The following is a 20,715-nucleotide window of genomic DNA, read 5'->3' as shown; positions in this document are numbered from 1 at the left end:
ATGGACCCAGGAGCCTGCTGACTCAGTGTGACACATACCTTTAAGAACAGCCCATACTAGAAAAAAGGGTGCGTGTATTTGTGTATTTCTAAGAATAATGTCCCAGCCTCTTGGTGAATGCCACGGCTTAGAGGGTGTAACCTCCCTTTTGAAGATGAGGAAACTCAGGTATGGAAGTACTGAGTAGCTTTCTTGAGTAACCAGGAGAAGAAGAGGAGTAGCGCCTGAGTGTCTGCCCTCATGACCTCACCACACACCTGGTGGCAGATGTGCCAGAGTTGTCAGGGCTTCCTGATGCCCTCTGTCCTCAGTCCTCAAAGATGTGGGTGCTATCAGATCCTGGGCTGGAGAGCACTTGCTTCCTCATGCTGTGTGACATCTGGAACATGCTGTGAGAGTAGAATAAGAATTCCAAGTAAAATTATACAGTATATTCTGAAAGAAAGGTAAATTTTGCATACCCAGCCTGCAGAAAGTGTAACAGCTTGTGGTGACCAGGACTGGTTGCTGCCCCTCTGAATCACGCTTTAGACAAGTGGTTGGAAATTGTAGACTGCCACAACCCCTGGTTGTTTGCATAGCATAATCAGCTCTCTGATTATTTCCTGTGACTGGAGTGGGTTCAACAAGAAGATGCTACAGGGAACTGCTGGCACAGGTAGACACAGCCACCATTCCCATGGGATTAGCCTTGCTGTTCACAGCCACTGCATTCTGGGAGACTTCCTGCCCCAGCATTTCAGCAAAAGCTAAGTACCTTGGAATTTAAGCACTGGGACTATGGGGAGGAGTCAGAGCTGCCCCGTGGGCCTAGCCCCTACCAGCATTCCCAGCATTCCTTAGATAACAGCTAACTGCAGCCGACTTGCAAACCGGCCCTAGGGTTAAGATCTCCGTTTAGGAGAGCAACCAAGTTGAATCTCATGGCTGAGATTTCTGGGAAAGAGCCTGTCATTAGCCCACCCCATCCCCAGATTAGCCCCTGCTCCTGAGACTAGGCAGTGTGGTCACATTACACCAAGACAGTGGCTCTCAAGGAAAGGGATGGTATTCAGAGAAGGCAGTAGGTGCTCCCACATCCATGTTGTTGTAGAAATGTATAATATACATAAAAGGGATCACATTATATATACACTTTTATGTTCTGCTTTATTCACTTATACATCATGAACACTCTATAGTTCATATTCTTTGAAAACATTTTAATGTCTTTTTGCTATCTCTTGTATGGGCATATTATGGTTTATTGATTCTTCTACTGTTAAACATTTAGATTTTTTGCAGTTTTTTCCAATTATAAAAATTATTGGCTGAGCATGGTGGCTCATCCGTGTAATCCCAGCATGTTGGGAGGCCGAGATGGGCAGATCACTTGAGCCCATCTCAGAGTTTTGAGACCAGCCTGAGGAACATGGCAAAACCCTGTCTCTACAAAAATTAGCTAGGTGTGGTGGCGTGTGCCTGTAGTCTCAGCTACTTGGGAGACTGAGGTGGGAGGATCATTTGAGCCCAGAGAGGTTGAGGCTGAAGTGAGCAGTGATTGTGCCACTGAACTCCAGTTTGGGTGACAGATTTAGTTTTTGTATTTCCTTATTAAAGGTTTCAAAAAGATCACCTCTGAATTAAAGGATAAGAAATTTTAGCTGTCATTATGTACTGTCAATATGTCAGATAGCTTTTTAGAAAGGTGGAGTAACAAATGAATATAGAGCTGATTTGTTGCATGCCAGTGGTGAAACTCACACACATTAGAATAACACATAGGCATGTTTAGCTGTAAGCATGAGGGTACTCAGGTGGCAGGGGTCACGCAAACATTCCACATATGGGAGAGCTTTTGGTTTTTAACAGCTTTATTGAGAGAATTTAAATGCCATACAATGCACTCATTTAAAGTGTACAATTCAGTGGCTTGTATTATATTCACAGAGTTGAATATACTACTACATGCATAGAGTTGAATATGCATCCATCACCACAGTCATGTTTAGAGTATTTTCATTACCAGCTGTCACCCCCTACTACCTCCATCCCAAGTCTGCAACCACTAATCTACTGTCTTTATAGATTTTCCTATTTGGGATATTCCATGTAAATAGAATCATATAATATATGGTCCTTTGTGTCTGGTCTTTGACTTTGCATGCTGTTTTTAAGGTTCATCCATGTTGTAGCATGTATCAATACTTCATTCCTGTTTATTGCTGATAGGAGAGCTTATATCACATCAGCAGAAGGGCCTGTGAGTCTGCGGTTAGAGAAAGGGAATTGAGGACCCATTTGGGAGCAGTGATCATGAATTATAGTGGCACTGATTTTCTTTATTATGTGACTTTCTCCAGCATCCTTACATTTTCAGTGACTGTAGCAGTAGTCATTTTTGTGAATGTACCTGTTTATTTACCCTATCCATTATTAGTGGATAAGTCTTTCCTAATCTTCACTCTTTTGAAAACTGCTTCAATAGATAGATCTTTGAACATTTATGTGATTGTCTTTTGTGGGTGAATTTCTAGAAATAGATTTGGTGGGTGAAGGGGTATGGTCAGTTTACATTTTGACACAGAGTGCCACTCTGCCTTCCCAAAAGCTGGAAGGAACTTGTCTTCATCACACTAAAAATGTCAGTCTTCTTAATCTGTGGTGATTTGCAGTGTGAAAAATTGTTCATTAGTGTTATTGTTAGCATTTTTTGCACTGTTCAGATTAAACAGTTTTTTCATATGTGTTTTACCATTTGTGTTTTTTCTTTTAGAATTTATAAGGTTAGAAGTAAGTAGAAGTGTACATTTTTATGTAGCCAAGTATTTTATTTTTCAGTATTTCCTGCTGCTGCTTTAAGTTTAATTAAAATTTTAACAATATCTTGTTACTGTTAATTATCATTATTACACTGTTAACCTGTTTATTATCCCATTATGCTTTTCTTTGATTGTTCTGTTACCATTTCCTTTCTACTATTTTTCCTGTGGTTTATAATAACCATTTAATTTCTTTTAAACATGCCACCTTCAATGTTACTCTTCAAAATATTTATTCTTCTCAAGATAGAAGAAACTTACAACCCTCAATTAGACATTTTCTAACACAGCTAACCCTTGCATTTTCACACCAATTATTTCTTTCTACTTTAATTTTAGAAGACTCTAAACTGCTAACTGAAGATTTTCTTAGAAACTTAAAAACATAGCCCTTTACAAAAATGTTTATTTGCAGTCTAAGAGTTAGTTAATTTACAAATGAAAACTACTAAATATCAAATTAATAGACAGCAACTTTAGCTGACCTTTGCATTAATTTCTTATATTTTAATTTGCACAACTCTGCAAATACATTTGAAAACAGATTAAAAATTTTCTGTAGAGACATGACCTCACTATGTTGACCAGGCTGGTCTCAAACTCCTAGACTCAAGCAGTTCTCTCACCTCAGCCTCCCAAAGTGCTGGGATTACAGGCCTGGAGTTTAAGAGAGGCACACTGAAGAAGTCTGAGTTCCTTTAAAATACTTGAGCAAAGAATGAAAAGAAAAAGTCCGGGTGCGGTGGCTCACACCTGTAATCCCGACACTTTGGGAGCCTAGGGCGGATGGATCATCTAAGGTCAGGAGTTTGAGACCGGCCTGATCAACATGGTGAAACCCCGTCTCTACTAAAAACATGGAAAAATTAGCTGGGCGGGGTGGTGCATGCCTGTAATCCCAGCTACTCGGGAGGCTCAGGCAGGAGAATCACCTGAACCCAGGAGGCGGAGGTTGCAATGAGCCGAGATCGCGCCATTGTACTCCAGCCTGGGCAACGAGAGCAAAACTCCGTCATGGAGAAAAAAAAAAGAAAGAAAGAAAAAGAAAAAAAATGGGATAATGAAGCAAATATGCCAGACTCTTGTTACTGTTGAGAATGGGTATATGTGGGTTCATTATACCATTCTCTCTTCTTTTGATTATGTTTAAAATACTTCATAATAAAAACTGTTTAAGCTGTTGAAAAATATGATCCATCAAAATGAGAGTAAACTGAGCTATCCGGGAAGATGCAGCGGTGGAAAAGAGGGGATCCAGCAGGGGAGAGAAGCACAGGCAAGCCCACAGGAACCATGGCAGCAAAGCCCCGTGAGAGCTGTGCCCACACATCTCCTCCGTCCCTACTCTCAGCTCCAGATGAGCTTGCTGCAGGCAGGGGCTGTGAGGTTGTTTCCTGCCCCTGTGTTCCTCTTCCCTGACAGTGGCTGGCCCTGCAGGTTTGCAGGGAAGGTGCTGAGGGGGCTGATAAATCTCTGTTGGATACAGAAGCACCAGAAGTCACGGGGAAATGGAGGGTTTAGGTGTAGATACCTTCCTGAAGCGGAAGCACCTATGAGGCAGTGAGCTGGAATGAAAGGAATCTGGTCTGAAGAGATAGTTTAAGATCAAGGCAGGACTGTTTTAAGTGAGGTAAGGTCCAGGAGGTGACGGGAGAGTGCCGGCATTCAGAGGGCCAGGAAGCTTGAGGCTGGGTTGTTGAATTAATCATTCACATGGATATTGAAATAATCCAGGATGATGGGAGAGTCCCTCCCTCCCACTCTCCCTGACATTTTATTATGAAGATTTCAAAACTACAACAAAGCTGAAAGAATTTTACAGGGAACGCTCATATATCCAATACCTGAATTCTACCTTTATTCTTTTACTTTGTTTTATCACGTATCTGCCGATCCATCCATCTGTCCATTTCACATGTTTTACTCATTTCAAGTAAATTGCAGGCACCACTGTGTTTCCCTCACGCAGGAATGCTGAGGGTTAAATGTGGGGGTATTTTTAAACTGTTAGATATTATTGAAATACAGTGTTTTAAATCTAATTAAGATGTTCCTTGACTTCAGGTTGCGAATGATGACTCAATTCCTGAATCAGCTTCGGGAACGGAGCCAGACCCAGGTGGAGACTGGGCCACTCTAGTTCCCTTGCTCAGCAGGAGCAGCAGGGCTGTCACAGCAGCTTCCTCTGTGGGCATGCAGTGGCCGCTCCTCCCACTCAGCACCTTCGCCCCGCAGATGCAAATGCTCCTCTGCTCTTAGAACAAAACTGCAACCCCGAAGATAGGTAACGGAAAGGAGATTGCAGCGTTTGGAAGGGAAGGCTGAGGCGGCATATTCTGGCGGGGAACTAGTCATAATGCTAGTTATCCGATCATTGAAACATCTTCTAGGTAGACTGTTCCATCCTTCAGTTTGCTTTTCTTTTCCCAAACGGTAATTGCTCCTAATCTGAGGTGGAGTAAGTCTAACCAAGTTCTAGTGCCTGTCTCTGACCCATGGGTAGCTAGAAAATTACAGCTCAAGGTGAAGTCTCAAGAGGAGTAGCCTTATATTTTGTGAAATGCTAAATAAAAAGATCTTCTGTTCTCATGAACCACTTACAACTTGGGCTTTATTTTTACCTGTATGGAAAACATGAAAAGTAACAAGAAAAACATGTTTACGTTTGGTTTTGACCTAGCACTGGTCTCTGAAGCAGGCCCCAGTGAGAGTTCGTACTGTAACTAACAGGCTCTGTGACCCTGGGCAGGTTCCTTACCTGGCAGTGCCCCAGTTTCGGCATCTGTGCATGATGGTGGTACCTGTTCTGCCTCTCTTGCTTGTGAAAATGCACAGAAAGAGCAGTGTAAGTGTCAGATGTTGTGTCTGCCTAGATGGCTTCAGGGCCTGGACTTACCACCTTAGCACTCAACCACTTGCATCCTTTCTGTCTTCTGGGGTCCCATCTCTCTTGCAGAGTCTTGTGTCATCTCCCCCACTGGGAAGGGGAAAGAGGACTGGCCCAATAGGGCCCCAGCCATGTGGTAATTGGGGCTGCTTAGCCCTGCCATCTGCCTCCAGGCAGAGTTGTTTCCCAGAGGGTCCAGAAGAAATGAACAGGCTGGGAGCAAGAGAAAATCTTGTCCATTGGAGAATGCCTGTCAGGAGGCCAGGCTGATGAGGGCAGCTGGTCCTGAAGTCCCTCTGCCTAAGAGCTCTCTCTCCAGACCCCCAAAATGCCCAGGGCTCTCTCCCTCACTGCACTCAGGTCTCCAAGGTCACCTCTGGTCTTTCCAGTCTAGCACTCCACCTGGTTACACCCTATCCCTTTTCCCTGCTTATTTTCCTCATAGGACATTACCTAACAAGGTATATTTGTTTATCGTCCCTCTCCCGCCTTAGAATGAAAACTGCACCAGGACAGGAACTTTTGTTTTTTTCACCTCTGTTCCCAGCACTTAGAAGGGAAGAGTGCCTGATACATAATAGACAAAAAACACTGTTGTATGACTGCATGAATCAATCAGAAACAAAGCTACAGACCCATAGTGTGAGGCCAGAAGCTTTCATCTCCTGTGCCCTTGTGCCCACCAACCTAATGCCCTCTGGGCCTGCTGCCCCTGTTCCTGGGACTTTTCTGCTCCTCTCCTCTGATGGAGACCTTGTTTGCCTCTTTTTTGATTCATGATTTGCTTAGGTACAGAATTCTAGCTTAAAAGGTATTGTTCTCTGAATTTGAAAAACATTGTTCTACTCTAGCATCTGAATGTTGCTATTGAGACCTTTGATACTATTCTGTGTCCCAAACCTTTGCATGACCTGCTTTTTGCTCTGGAAGGTTTTAGCGTCTTTATTCCCGGCATGGTGACATTTCACCACGATGTGCCTTGTATGGTCTATTTTCATCTTTGCAAGCCTCTTGGAAGGCCCTTTGAATGTGGATACCAATATCGTTTTGGGAGGAAATATCTCCCGTAGTTTATTTGATAAACACCTTTCTTCTCTCTAGAAATCCTATAAATTTGCTGTTGGACCATCTTCATTGATTATTATCTTTTCTCTACTATGTTTGATCTCTCTTTTTACGCTATTTGCTGGGAAAGTTCTATGACTTTATTTTCCAACCCATCTAACCTTTTTTATTTATACTTTTTTTTTTTGAGATATGTTCTCACTCTGTCACCCAGGCAGGAGTGCAGTGGCACAATCTCAGCTTACTGCAGCCTCGACCTCCCCAGGCTTAGGTGATCCTCCCATCTCAGCCTCCCGAGTAGCTGGAACTACAGGCATGTGCCGCCACACCTGGCTAATTTTTTTGTAATTTTTTGTAATGATGGGGTTTCGCCACATTGCCCAGGCTGGTCTGGGACTCCTGAGCTCAAACAACCCACCCGCCTTGGTCCCCCACAGTACTCGGATTACAGGCGTGAGTCACTGCTCCTGGCCTATACCATTTTAATTTTCAAGAGCCCTTCCTCCTTATTTATTTTGGTTTCTGTCTTTAACGTTGGGAAGTTTTCCTAAAAAGTCCTCTGATCCTTAGTTATCTGTTCACATGTAAGAGTGAATCACTAGAAAGCAGGGATATAAAGATGTATTTGTACACCCAATTTCATAGCGGCGATATTCGCAATAGCCAAAAGGTGGAAGCAACCCAGGTGCCCACTGATGGATGAATGGATAAATAAAATGTGGTATATTCATACTATAGAGTGGTATTCAGCTTTAAAAAGGAAGGAAACTCTAACACATGCTACAACATGGATGGACCTTGAGGACATTATGCTGCGTGAAGTGAGTCAGTCATAAAAGGACAAATACTGGATGATTCTTCTTACATGAGGTACCTACAGTAGACAGAGTCATAGAGAAGAAAGTAGAATGGCAGGGGTTTGGGGGAAAGAGGGAGTGAGGAGTTAGTGTTTGATAAGTACAGAGTTTCAGTTTGGGAAGATGAAAAAGTCCCAGAGATGGATGGGGGTGACGGTTGCACAACAATGTGAGTATACTTAATGTCGCTGAACTGTTTATTTTAAAATGGCTAACATGGTAAATTTTATGTTATGTGTATTTTACCACCAGAAAACCCAGTGAGTCACTAGGAAGCAAATTGGAAGCTCTTGAGCAAGCCAGCTCTTTTCCTGGGAGAAACTGTCTCTGCAGGTCAGGGGAGAAAGTGTCTGTGCAGGATCTGGGGATCCAAGTGTTGCATATGCTGGCATTCATTCACTCCCCTGTTCTCAGCCCTACACCCACCCTACTATTCCCTTTGTGGTTGGGTCCTGCTCCCCTAAGCCTGGAGCCTGGGTTGCAGAGCAAATTTGTTTCTGTGTGGTCTTCCCCTCTGTAGCCTCTGCTATTTCTCATCCTATAACTACTTCTGTATTCATTTTCCATCTTCTGAAAAGTGTTGCATCTCTTGTTCACTTGGATCTTTTCTTCTTTGTGGCCTTATATATTGTTTTTGGCAGGGGTTCAGGAGGGAGAGGAGGTAATACACATGTACTATCCACCCTTTTAATTAGAAGTTAGCTTAGGTATTTTTAATAGTAGTGAGCATGTAATTATGGATATAGCACTTTAATCTTTTGAATCCACTCACATACAAATGAAAATTCAAAATGCTTATTTCAGCTAGCGATTCAGTTTATCTTATTGTACACATCAGTGCAGCCACCACCTAGGAGCTGTGATGAAGATGTGGAGTCGGCATCTAAAACCAGTGAGCTATAGACACCTTCAAGGTCGTATCCTTTTGTTTACAGCTGAGCTAGCATAGCTGTGTGTCCTGATAGGACGAGACAGTTCTTAAAGAAAGCAGAAAACAACAATAATGAATACTTTATGGACCTTAATCTTAAATGTCTTCTATCCTTGTCAATTCTCTAAAGGGGTTGAAAAATACACCATGAAAGGTGGTGGTGGAGGGGGGGTTCTGTGTGCGTATGTGCACACGTGCATGTGTGTGTATTGGCAGGTGGAAGAGTGGATTAAGGGTAGGGCTTGAAAGGAAATGGCTCTATGATGTCACAGCTCACTGTTTTGTAGTGGTTTATCCTAATTGTTTAGTTAATACTGTATAATGACATACTAAAATTAACTTGAGTTAGTTTTTAATCTAATTTATGATGAACATATATTAACATTTAGGTACATTTGCTCTATAAATGTGGGATCCATAAGAAAGAATCCCATCTTTGAATTGCAACCAAATATTTTAGAACAAGTAGGTCAGGTTGTATGGAGCTAATACAACTTGAGCAAAACTTCTAGGACTAGAGGAAATTGTGTTTGTGCAACAACGTTTGCGTAGGGCTTTAAAATTCATGAAGCTCTGGTAGTTTCCATTTTGGCTTTCTATTGTAGGAAGTAAATGTAATTTTAATAGTACCTTTTTTTTTCTTTTTTAATTAAGGATGATGTTAGCCTCCAGTGAATTAAATGTAAAGGAGCTCATTACCCATTCAGGAAATCCAGTTCTGTCTTCTCAAGTTGCTCTGTTATGTTGAATCCTGTGTGTAAAGATCAAGTGCCAACCCAGAGCATTTCATAGGGCTTCTGAGACCTTACAAAAATGCTAGAGATATATTATATACTAATATATTGATATTTTAAGACACTGAAGAAAGAGCTATGATCTTTTTTTTTTTTTTTTTTTGAGACAGAGTCTTGCTCTTGTCGCACAGGCTGGAGTACAGTGGCGCAATCTCACTGCAACCTCCACCTCCCGAGTTCAGGTGATTTTGCTGCCTCAGCCTCCCGAGTAACTGGGATTACAGGTGCCTGCCACCACGCCCGGCTAATTTTTGTATTTTTTGTAGAGGCGGGGTTTCACCATGTTGGCCAGGCTGGTCTGAAAATCCTGACCTCAGGTGATCCGCCCGCCTTGGCCTAGTAATGTTTTTATAACGTGGATTTTAAAGCATCAGTTTTAAAAAGAGGACAGCTCCTCCAACTGAATACATTTTTCAAAAAACATGAATAAAGTAATTATTCAATAAAAGGACAAGTTTCTTATCAAATTTAATTTCAGTAGTTACAACTTGAATGTTTTACTCTCTAGTATCTTACATTGCCATATACCAAAACAAAGAAAGTAGCTACATACTTTGCATTCAAATTTTAATTTTAAAAGTTTTTTGAAATGATCTTCAATATCTAAAATTTTGCAACTGGAATATAATTGATGACAAACACTAAGAAAGTGCTTTGCTAGAGCACTTCATATATTTATTCAGGCTCTAAATTCTTTTCTAGGTTGTATGAAATCTTACTGGGCAAACTGAAGGAAGATTTGGCAATGGTTAAGGTTTAAATCTTAGTATAAAATCCTTTTTAACAAGTAAAGCTAAATCTACATCACAGTAAATGAGATTGTATGGTTTGGAAATCATCTTTGATAAAGACCAGTAACAGAGCAATGATTTTCCAGTTGGAAGGGAGTTTAACTGGTAATGGGAGTGATGTTGGCTGACAGTGGGAGGTTGTTAAATTTATGTAGAAGAGGAATTGGGGAATCATTAGGTTTTTGGTTAATTCTTATAGTAGTTGGCCAGTAAACAGAATCTCAAAAAAAATGATCCATATATTCCTTAAACATTTTATTTTAATTACATACACAGAAATGCACATTTACTCACCAGTTATTTGACAGAAGTCCCAGGCTATTTCTTTTAATATGGATCTGCCTTATTCCACATCTTTGTTTTTCTGTTAACCACAGCCGTATTACAGTTGGAAGGACTTAAGGACACCTGGAAATCTGGTAGATTTCTTTTTAACAATTTTCCTTCCTCCTTTTTACAGATAATGTCTTTCACACCTGATTTGGCAGCATTTTTTTTAGCAGTCTACCTCCATCATGCATTTCCAGAGTATTCATTGAACAACAGTTTTTTTGCAGTCATTTGTTGGTTACGGTAATATGTACAAATGAAACAGTGCAACTGACTGAGGTTGTATTGTTCACAGACCTCAGTTGGTGAGTGTGTGCCTGTGTGTGCATGCATGTGTGTGCGTGCGTGTGTGTGTGTGTATGTGTGTGTGTTGCAGGGTGTGGGAGAGGGGCCAGATGGCCCAAGCGTGCCGTAGTTCTCAGTGGGTGTGCTTGCTTTAGTGAGGAGACCCAGCAGAGCAGTGTGAGTGGAATTCAGGTGACAGCACTCTGCTATAAATTGAGGTATGAGCATTTAGGAAGCCTCAGATACTCTCCCCGGAGGTCTGTCTTCTCAGCCCTCTCGACTCCCATATGGTGACAGCCATATGTTCCCTGGAGCCTCCCTCCCTGGCCGTGGGGTTCTTTCTGCACAGGGCTGCTCCTACATGACTGAATCTGACACTCTTGCCCTGCCCTGATCACTTCATTACAGACAAGCTGAGAGCCCCTCACATCTTTGTATTTTCCAACCCCCATTATAGTATCTGGCTATGAATACAGATTTGTTGAACAAAATCTCACTGTCCTGCTGCTGCCTGGCTTTCTCCAGGCTTCCTGAGGTGGGGGTGCAGCTCTTTGGATCCCAGGGCCTCTGGAGGTCAAATGAGCTAACAGAGCAATTAGGGGAGCTCTATATAGCATCCCCTTTCAACTTCAGGCAAACGTTTATTTAATAAGCAAATGTTTACCAAATAAATATAAATTTGCTCCATGATGTATGAAAACACCAGGGAAGAAACTATATTTATTTAAGGTGTAATCCATGCTAGTGAGTCGAATTTCTAACTTACAAAAATCCTCAAGTCATATGAAATGTTTTGTACGTTTAAAACATATTAATACTGTTTGGATGGCTATCTTCAGCTTATTCCAATACTATATGTTACATTCATTCCCTTGTGTGACAGAGGCAGATACCATCCCCCTGAGGTTTCCTAATGCCATGAGAATGTGGAAAGCAAGCCTCCGGAGAGCGAACTCACTCTGAGAAAGGCTTTGAAGATTGTTTTCTCATCTGCTTTTTATTTTCATATGCAAGTACGGTCCTCTGTAGTACATCTTATCTCTCTCTTTAGCCAGAAATACTTTGGCCCATAAAAATAGAAGAAAATCTCCAGCTAAGAGTGACACAAGTGCAGAGGTTAAATATTCAGTTCTTTGAAGTGAAATCATTTTTTTGTTCTTAGTGTAATGATACCCCTTTTCCTCCCTCTCCCTTCCTCTCCCTCAACACTTCCCAGGTCAGCAAGCTAGAAACTTTGTTGTCATCTTTAGATCCTCCCTCTCTCACTCTCACTCACTAGTTATTTTTAAGTCCAGAAATGCGATCTTCATAAGTGTCTCTGAATTTATTCTGCTCACTGCAAACTTAACTCCTGCTGCATCTTGATGCACTTGAACAATACAGTTCTTAAAGTTCTTAACCCTTTGGAGGTTATGAACTCCTTCAGTAGCTAATGAAAACCATAGACCCCCTTCTAGAAAAAGATGTGTGTATGTACAAATGTGTGTGCACATACACAATATTGCAACCATTTTAAGAAATTCACAGACCCCAATTAAGAAACCCTTGTAGGTCATTCTCCTGCCTCTGATACCTCCCACAACCAACAAATCCTCCATATTTTTATCAAGGTTATCTTTCCAAAATAGATTTAGTCATGTCAGTCCTTTGTCTAAACACTTTACTAACTTGCCATTGACTGTAGAATAAATTCTAGTGTATTTAATCTGGTCTTTTAAGTCCTCCGTATTCTACCCCCTTTTTTTTTTGTGATCCCCCTGCTTTCATGAACTATCTACTGCTCTATTTGCTATTCTCCACACCTGCTGTGAGTTTGTAGAACTTTTTGACTGCTTGTGCTGTCCTTGTCTCTAGGATATTTACCTTCTTGCCCTTCTTTTCTTCACTGTTGAGGGCTTTATTTTTTCAAGGCTCTGATGAAATGGTTGTTGTTCATGAGACTATCACTCCTCTATTAATCTCTGCTCGTCTCTGCTTCCTGCAATCCTGCAGAACTGTCTGCCTGAGCTGGCGCATCTACTAAGTTAAACCGTATGAAATTACTGATATTCAGCTGCTTTTAAAACTTATTTTTAAATTTACATACGGTAGCATTCACTCTATTTGGTGTACAGTTTCTGAGAGTTTTGATAAGTGCAATAAGTTATGTAACCACCACAATCAAAATTCAGAACAGTTCCATCACCTCCCAGAATATTTTTTCCAAGCTCCCTCTTTTTTTTTTTTTTTTTTTTTTTTTTTTGAGACAGAGTCTTGCTCTGTCTCCCAGGCTGGAGTGCAGTGGCATGATCTCAGCTCACTGTAACCTCTTCCTCCCGTAACTTCTGCCTCAGCCTCCTGAGTAGCTAGGATTACAGGCATGCACTACCACATCGGCTACTTTTTGTATTTTAGTAGAGACATGGTTTCACTATGTTGGCCAGGCTGGTCTCAAACTCCTGACCTTGTGATCCGCCTGTCTTGGCTTTCCAAAGTGCTGGGATTACAGGCGTGAGCCACCACGCCCGGCCCCAAGCTACCTCTTTGACTACAAATATTTCTGTTTTTCACTACAATTAACATAATTTTGTGTGGTTCTACCTAATATTTGATTCAAAACTAAATAGTTGTTTTCTTGTGGTTATGGACTGCCTATTTGTGTTAAAAATTCATATGTTGAAATCCTAACTCCCCGGTGCCATGGTATTAGGCGGTAGGACCTTTGGGAGGTGATTAGGCCGTGAGAGTAGAGCCTTCATGAATGGGCTTAGTGCCCTCATATGAAGAAGGGGACCAGTGCCTTTCTTTTCTCTCTCCACCATGTGAGGCACAGCAAAAAGCCATCTACAAAGCAGGAAGCGGGCCTCTCCAGGCATTAGATCTGCCAGAGCTGTAATGTTGGACTTCCCAGCCTCCAGAGCTGTGAGAAATAAATATTTGTTAAAGCCACCCAGTCTGTGGTATCTTGTTATAGCAGCCCAGGTGACTAAGACACTCATCTTTCTCCTCATTGGATTGCGAACTCCCCAAGAATCCAAATCATGCCTTATTTTTCTATATCCCCATAACTCCTAACATAGATAAAGCCTGGTGCATTTTAAGTTCCCAGAGCCTGAGTCTTAGTTGAGTCAACAGAGGAATGCATGCTTAACAAAAATAATTATGAGATTTGCTTTCATTATGAGACTGAACTTCCGTGATATGGTTTGGCTCTGTTTCCCCATCCAAATCTCAAGTCAAATTATAATCCACAGTGTTGGAGGAGGGACCTGGTGGGAGGTAATTGGATCATAGGGGTGGATTTCCCCCTTGCTGTTCTCGTGACAGTGAGTTCTCACAAGATCTGGTTGTTTAAAAGTGTGTAGCACCTCCCCCTTTGCTCTCTCCTGCTGGCCATGTGAAGATGTGCATGCTTCCCCTTTGCCTTCCACCATGATTGTAAATTTCCTGAGACCTCCTCAGCCATGCTTCCTGTACAGCCCATGGAACCATGAGCCAATTAAACCTGTTTTCTTTATAAATTACCCAGTCTCAGGTAGTTTTTTATAGAAACATGAAGACAGACTAGTACATTCCCCCTTCTTATTTTCCTGCCTCTTCCTTCTTCTGCTGAATTTACTAATGGGTTCCATTATGCCTTGCCCGGTTCTTGAGATAGTCATTCTAGAAACAGCAACTCAGCTCTGTCAGCCTCTGGGTTTTGGAGTTAAGTTCTGAGACTGAGCAGATCTGGTGTGCTGTATGCCAGCTCTGAGCCTGAAGCATTGGGACCACCTCAGCTGCAGTGGGCAACTGCTGACATGACTGCATTTGAGTAGGTTTCATGAGAGATACCAATGCAGGTAAATGTATTGTAGAGGAATAAGGTGACTGAATCTTTAGCATATTATTTATTTGCATCTGCTCTCCCTAAGATCATCATAGTACAGCTTACTGCCTCCAGTGGTCTGAAAGCAACAGAGTTATCTGGAGCTAAAAGTATCAGCTAGTGAGTGTTAGAGGGGCACCCGTTGATGTACTCTTACCATGCAGGTGTATGTTCTCCTCTCCCTGTCTTTCAGGGCTCATTGATCATTTAATTCCACCTCAGATAATCTGTCACTCTCTTTTAGTTTACCCCATCACATATAATTGACAATGCAGAATCCGTGTATAAGTTGGGACTTCTCTGTGCTTGTAGCGTGTTATTTTTAGGAGAGGAGGTGATTACTCTCATATCATTAGAGTTATTGGGGAAGCAATTTTGTTAGTCATTATGCATATCAATAATTATACAAACTGATTTATGAGTGCATTTTTATCACTAGTATTATTAGTGCAGTTGTTAGAGCTAAACCACAAATATAATTACTTTCAACTTTAATGAAATATAGAATAATCTACATTCAGATAGTAAGAATAGTATTAATCGCTGACAATAATTAAAATACACTTCTACATATAAACAGTGTTTAAAATGTAGAAGTAAACATGATACCAGACAATATTTTCAAAGTGGAAAGGCTAAGGGAGTGGTGAAAGTGTTTAAAAACAGGCCTGTGTTTAGGACTTCCTAGCGATAGGCTAAGCACCTTGGCAGAGAGTCAGGTATTGTAGCAATGAACTTGGGTGGAGTGAACCTAATAAAATCACTCTTTCCACTTTAGTGTTTAAAAATATAAACACACTTTGATGTTAAAGGAGAAAGTGAGTGTACATAGAAAATAAGTACTGTATTTATTTCTTCTCAGGTTTCTGTAACATTTCTTAGTATAAACGTTCTGTTTCTACTGCCGGCTATTGTTTTGCAAGGAAAATGGGTGTTAGATATCAATTTAGATTTGAGGAGGTGAGTAAAAGTTCAAACTATTTTTCCAGATAAGGTATTTTCTCCTGTGGTTTTTAATAGTACAAATAAACAAATATCACGTTGCCTTTTAGAGTGTTTTCTGATTTCAATGCAGATACGCAGTCCTCTGTGGAGCATAAATCTGGATCAGCCTAGAAACTCTGCTTAGACTGAGATAAGTGATGAAGACTTAAAGAATAATTAAAATTAAAAGCTAAGTTGGTTTCCCACCTCTGCCTCCAACAACTTAACTGATGGATGGGTTCCATGTGAAGTCCTGGAAGGGTTTAGCTACCCTATTCTTCAGAGACCCAGGTTCTAATCTGCAGACTCCAGCTTGGCCCGAGTGCATAAAGACATTCTGCTTGGTGGGTAGGATGCCCCGCTCACCTCAAAATCCTGTGTGAGCATGGTATGAGAATTGGGGTTTCCAGGGAGCAGTACCCTAAGGGCTGCAGCAGGTCTTTGCACAGTGGGAAACCAGTCTTTCTCCTGTAGGTGCTGAGGACTCAGGACTTGGGCATCAAGAAAGTGAACTTCGTTTTGACTCATAAGTCTGGTGTTAGGGCTGGCTACAGGGTAGGCTTGGTAATATTTCCAAGGACTTAGGTTCTTTCCAACTTTCAACTCCTTCTTTGAGCCAACTTTCAATTCTTTAAGGTGAGGGTTTGTCTTCATGGGATAGCTGCAAGGTAGCTGCCATGTCTCTGGTGTCATATGCAGACCACAATAGCTGGAAGTTTAAAAATGAACCATTTTCTCTGGTGAGCCTCTTTTTTTTTTTTTTTTTTTGGAGATGAAGTCATGCTCTGTCGCCCAGGCTGGAGTGCAGTGTCCTGATCTCCACTCACTGCAACCTCTGCCTCCTGGGTTCAAGCGATTCTCCTGCCTTAGCCTCCCAAGTAGCTGGGACTACAAGTGTGCACCACCACGCCCAGCTAATTTTTCTTTTTCTTTTCTTTTTTTTTTTTTTTGAGATGGAGTCTCCCTCTGTTCCCCAGGCTGGAGTGCAGTGGCGCAATCTTGGCTCACTGCAAGCTCCGCCTCCTGGGTTCATGCCATTCTCCTGCCTCAGCCTCCTGAGTAGCTGGGACTACAGGCGCCCACCACCACACCCGGATAATTTTTTTTTGTATTTTTGGTAGAGACGGGGTTTCACCGTGTTAGCCGGGATGTTCTCGATCTCCTGATCTCGTGATCCGCCCGCCTTGGCCTCCCAAAGTGCTGGGACTACAGGCGTGAGCCACCGCGCCCGGCCTAATTTTTCTATATTTAGTAGGGATGGGGTTTCACCATGTTGGCCAGGCTGGTCTTGAATTCCTGACCTCAGGTGTTCTGCCCACCTTGGCCTCCCAGAGTGCTGGGATTACAGGCATGAGCTGCTGTGCCCGGCCGAGCCTCTTTTTAAAAGCCAGGAGATTATTTTCTCAAAACCTCCTAGCCAACTTCACATCTCAGGTCGTATCAAAGGGATTGGAATTGCCATAACTGGCGTCTGCTAATAAATTCACCCTCTTGGGACTGGTGCCCCACCTTCAAAACAGATGGCCACTTAATATCAGAATAAAATTTGAATTTGTTAGCAAGGAAGAATGAGGGTGGCTGCAGGGGTGGACATCAGTGGTGGCTACTGTAGTGTCAAGGGAGGTACAATGACTGAGAATGTCTTTATATCACCTGCCCACTTGATAGCTTGGTTGAGTATAGCATTCTAGGTTGGAAATTTGTTCTTCTAATTTTGTAGGCATCATTAATTGTTTCTAGTTCCCAGTGTTATCACTAAATCCAGTGCTATTCTGATATCCCAGTCCTTTACACTTTCTCAAGTCTTCTGTCTCTTTGGAAGCTTTTAGGCTCTTCTCTTTATCCCTGGTGTTCTGATGTCCATGGAATAGGTCTTTTTAAATTCGTTGTGATGGGTACTTGCTGAGTAGGCCCTTTCAAAATAGAAAATGTCCTTCGAAATTTGGGAAACATTTTCTTCTTCTCATGTTGGACCTTTTATCTCCTGTCTCCTCCCTCTTTATCTTTCCTTCTTCTTCTTCTTTTTTTTTTTTTTTTTTTTTTTTTTTTTTTTTTTTTGCTTTATAAGGTAATTTCTCAACTTTATCTTCCAAATTTCTATCGGTGTTTTTCCCCTCTCTGTCCATATTTTTAGTTTCCAAGAGCACTGTTGTTCTCACTTTGTTTTTCTAAAGAGCAGAAAATGATAAGAGGAATGGAAGAACTTGTGGTTGAAAATTCTGAGGAACTTTGTTATGCAAGCAAAGGAATTAGGCGGTGTTCAACATCTCTGCATAGGGAGACAGGTTGCCAGGCAAAAGAAAAAGAGGTCGCGGGAACCTGGGGGAAGCTGGGAGGAATGGAAGAGGTTACAAAGGCCATGAACATGAATGTGATGGGTAAGTTAAAACAACAAAGCAGGTGGCATTGATAGCTTAGTTGAAGAGGTTTGTTATTTTTCAAATTAATGTTCTTAGGTTTCTTAGACCCTTGCATTTGTTATTGCTTTTAAATGACATTAACTCTATGTTCCTGATTACAAACATGTTTATTGTAGAAATGTTGGCGAATATAAGAAATCACACAAACCTCCGAAATTGTGCATAATCTCATCGCTCAGAGATAACCAGTATTAATAGTGTAGTGTTTTCTATGCCTTGTCTAATGGCATATGAATACATGTATGTACCACTTCTTTTCAATTCTTTTTTGTTTTTTTGAGATGGAGTCTCGCTCTGTCACCCAGGCTGGAGTGCAGTGGTGCGATCTCGGCTCACTACAAGCTCCACCTCCCAGGTTCACTCCATTCTCCTGCCTCAGCTTCCCGAGTAGCTGGGGCTACAGGCGCCCGCCACCACCCCTGGCTAAGTTTTTGTATTTTTAGTGGAGATGGGGTTTCACTGTGTTAGCCAGGATGGTCTCGATCTCCTGACCTCATGATCTGCCTGCCCCGACCTCCCAAAGTGCTGGGATTACAGGCATGAGCCACCGTACCTGGCCTTTTTCAATTCTTTTACTTTTTATTTTGAAAAAGTTTCAAACCTACACACAAGTAGCAAGAATAATATAATGAACTCCTATGTACCTTTTCATCCAGATTCACCAATTGTTAGATAATATTTTGCTACCATATACTTTTTAAAAACAAAATTAGAATCATACTGTAGTTTATATTTTTATATTCTGCTTTTTCCAGTTAATAGTACATCACATGTCTTGAATAACCTTATCATCAAATACTTTTTCAAGGCCAGGCACAGTGGCTCATGCCTGTAATCCCAGCACTTTGGGAGACTGAGAAGGGCAGATCACTTGAGGTCAGGAGTTCGAGACTAGCCTGGCTAACATGGTGAAACCCCATCGCTACTAAAAATACAAAAATTAGTTGGGTGTGGTGATACACACCTGTGGTCCCAGCTACTTGGGAGGCTGAGGCACGAAAATCGCTTGAACCCAGGAGGCGGAGGTTGGAGTGAGCTGAGATTGCACCACTGCACTCCAGCCTGGGTGACAGAGTGAGACTCTGTCTCAAAAACAAAAACAAAAACAAAACAACAACAAAAAAACCCAGTATTTTTCAAGAACATTTTTTAATTTTTATTTTAGATTATTAAACTTTATTTATTTATTTATTTATTTATTTATTTATTTATTTATTTTGAGACGGAGTCTCGCTCTATCGCCCAGGCTGGAGTGCAATGGTGCGATCTCGGCTCAACCTCCGCTTCCTGGGTTCAAGCAATTCTCCTGCCTCAGCCTCCTGAGTAGCTGGGATTACAGGCGTGCATCATGACACCCGGCTAATTTTTAAATTTTTGGTAGAGATGAGGTTTCACCATATTGGCCAAGCTGGTCTCAAACTCCTGACCTCAAGTGATCCACCCACCTCGGCCTCCCAAAGTGCTGGGATTATAGGCGTGAGCCACCGCGCCCGGCCTAACTTTATTTTTAAGAGCAGTTTTAGGTTCACAGCAAACTTGAGTGGAAAGTACAGAGAGTTTCTGTATACCCCTTGCACCCACGTAGGCATAGCCTCCCTCACTATTAATATCCACACCAGAGCGGTACTTTAGTTACCACTGATTAACCTACATTGACACATCATTATCATGCAAAGTTCATGGTTTACATTTGGGTTCACTCTTGGCATTCTGCAATCTATGGATTTGGACAAATGTATAATGACTTATATCCACCATTATAGTATCATATAAAGTAGTTTCACTGCCCTAGAAACCCTCTGTGCTCCACCTGTTCCACATACCACCCCTGGAAACCCATGGCAACCACTAATCTTCACAGTCACAGTTTTTGCTTTTCCAGAATGTCAGATAGTTGGAATCATACAATATCCAGCCTTTTCAGATTACTAAGTAAAAGAAACCAAATACGTATTTAATTTTCCTCCATGTTTTTTGTAGGTAATAGCTCATTTCTTTGTATTGCTAAATAATATTCTAAACTGCGGTAAATAAATGTACCACAGTTTGTTTATTCATTCACCTGTTTGAGGACATCTTGGTTACTCCCAGGTTTTGGCAATTATGATTAAAGCTGCTATAAACATTCATATGCAGATTTTTGTGTGAACATATGTTTTCGACTCATTTGGATAAATACTAAAGAGTGTGATGGCTGGATGGGTTGGTAAGATTGTTTGGTTTTGTAAGAAACTGCCAAACTATCTTCCCATCATGGTACTTTGTTGTAAGTTTGCGCCATAGTTTTTTTGACTTATTTTAAATTTTTGAACATTTAGATTTTTTTCCAGTTTTAACCCTGTGAGGAACATTCTTTTAAAATCTTTGCACATGTTTCTAATTATCTCCTTAGAATAAACTCCTCACATTGGAATTGCTGAGTCAAAAGATCTGGTCATTTGCAATTGTGGCAAGCATTGCCAAATTATTTTTCCCAAAGGCTGTTGTGCTAATCTATGCTTTTGCCAACAGGCCTGAGGATGACTGTACTTTTCACACTCTCAGTAATACTGTCAATTACGTTGTCAGTTTGCTAGGACTGCTGTGACAAAGAACCACAAACTTGGTGGCTTAAAACAACAAAAATGTATCCTTTCACAGTTCTGGAGGCCAAAAATCTGACTCAAGGTGTAGCAGGGCCATGCTTCCTCTAAAGGTTCCAGGGGAGGATCTGTCCTTGCCTC

At 41.5% G+C, this 20,715-nt stretch overlaps 1 protein-coding gene across 11 annotated transcripts in view, besides 1 other annotated feature; it reads left to right on the top strand.

The window, feature by feature from the left end:
• Nucleotides 1–20,715, top strand: part of TJP1 (tight junction protein 1) — a 269,683-nt gene that overhangs the window by 43,371 nt on the left and 205,597 nt on the right. The window lies entirely within an intron of this gene.
• Nucleotides 1,376–1,925: an enhancer, noted in NCBI's record as "H3K27ac hESC enhancer chr15:30215957-30216506 (GRCh37/hg19 assembly coordinates)". NCBI's record gives its function as "activates a minimal SCP1, AML or CMV promoter by ChIP-STARR-seq in naive H9 embryonic stem cells {active_cell/tissue: H9 hESC(naive)}" and the evidence as "EXISTENCE:reporter gene assay evidence [ECO:0000049][PMID:30033119]".

Source organism: Homo sapiens, chromosome 15 (assembly GCF_000001405.40).
Source record: "Homo sapiens chromosome 15, GRCh38.p14 Primary Assembly".
Classification (NCBI taxonomy): domain Eukaryota; kingdom Metazoa; phylum Chordata; class Mammalia; order Primates; family Hominidae; genus Homo; species Homo sapiens.
Note: the sequence above shows the minus strand (reverse complement) of the source record. Positions and strands in the feature narration are given on the sequence as shown.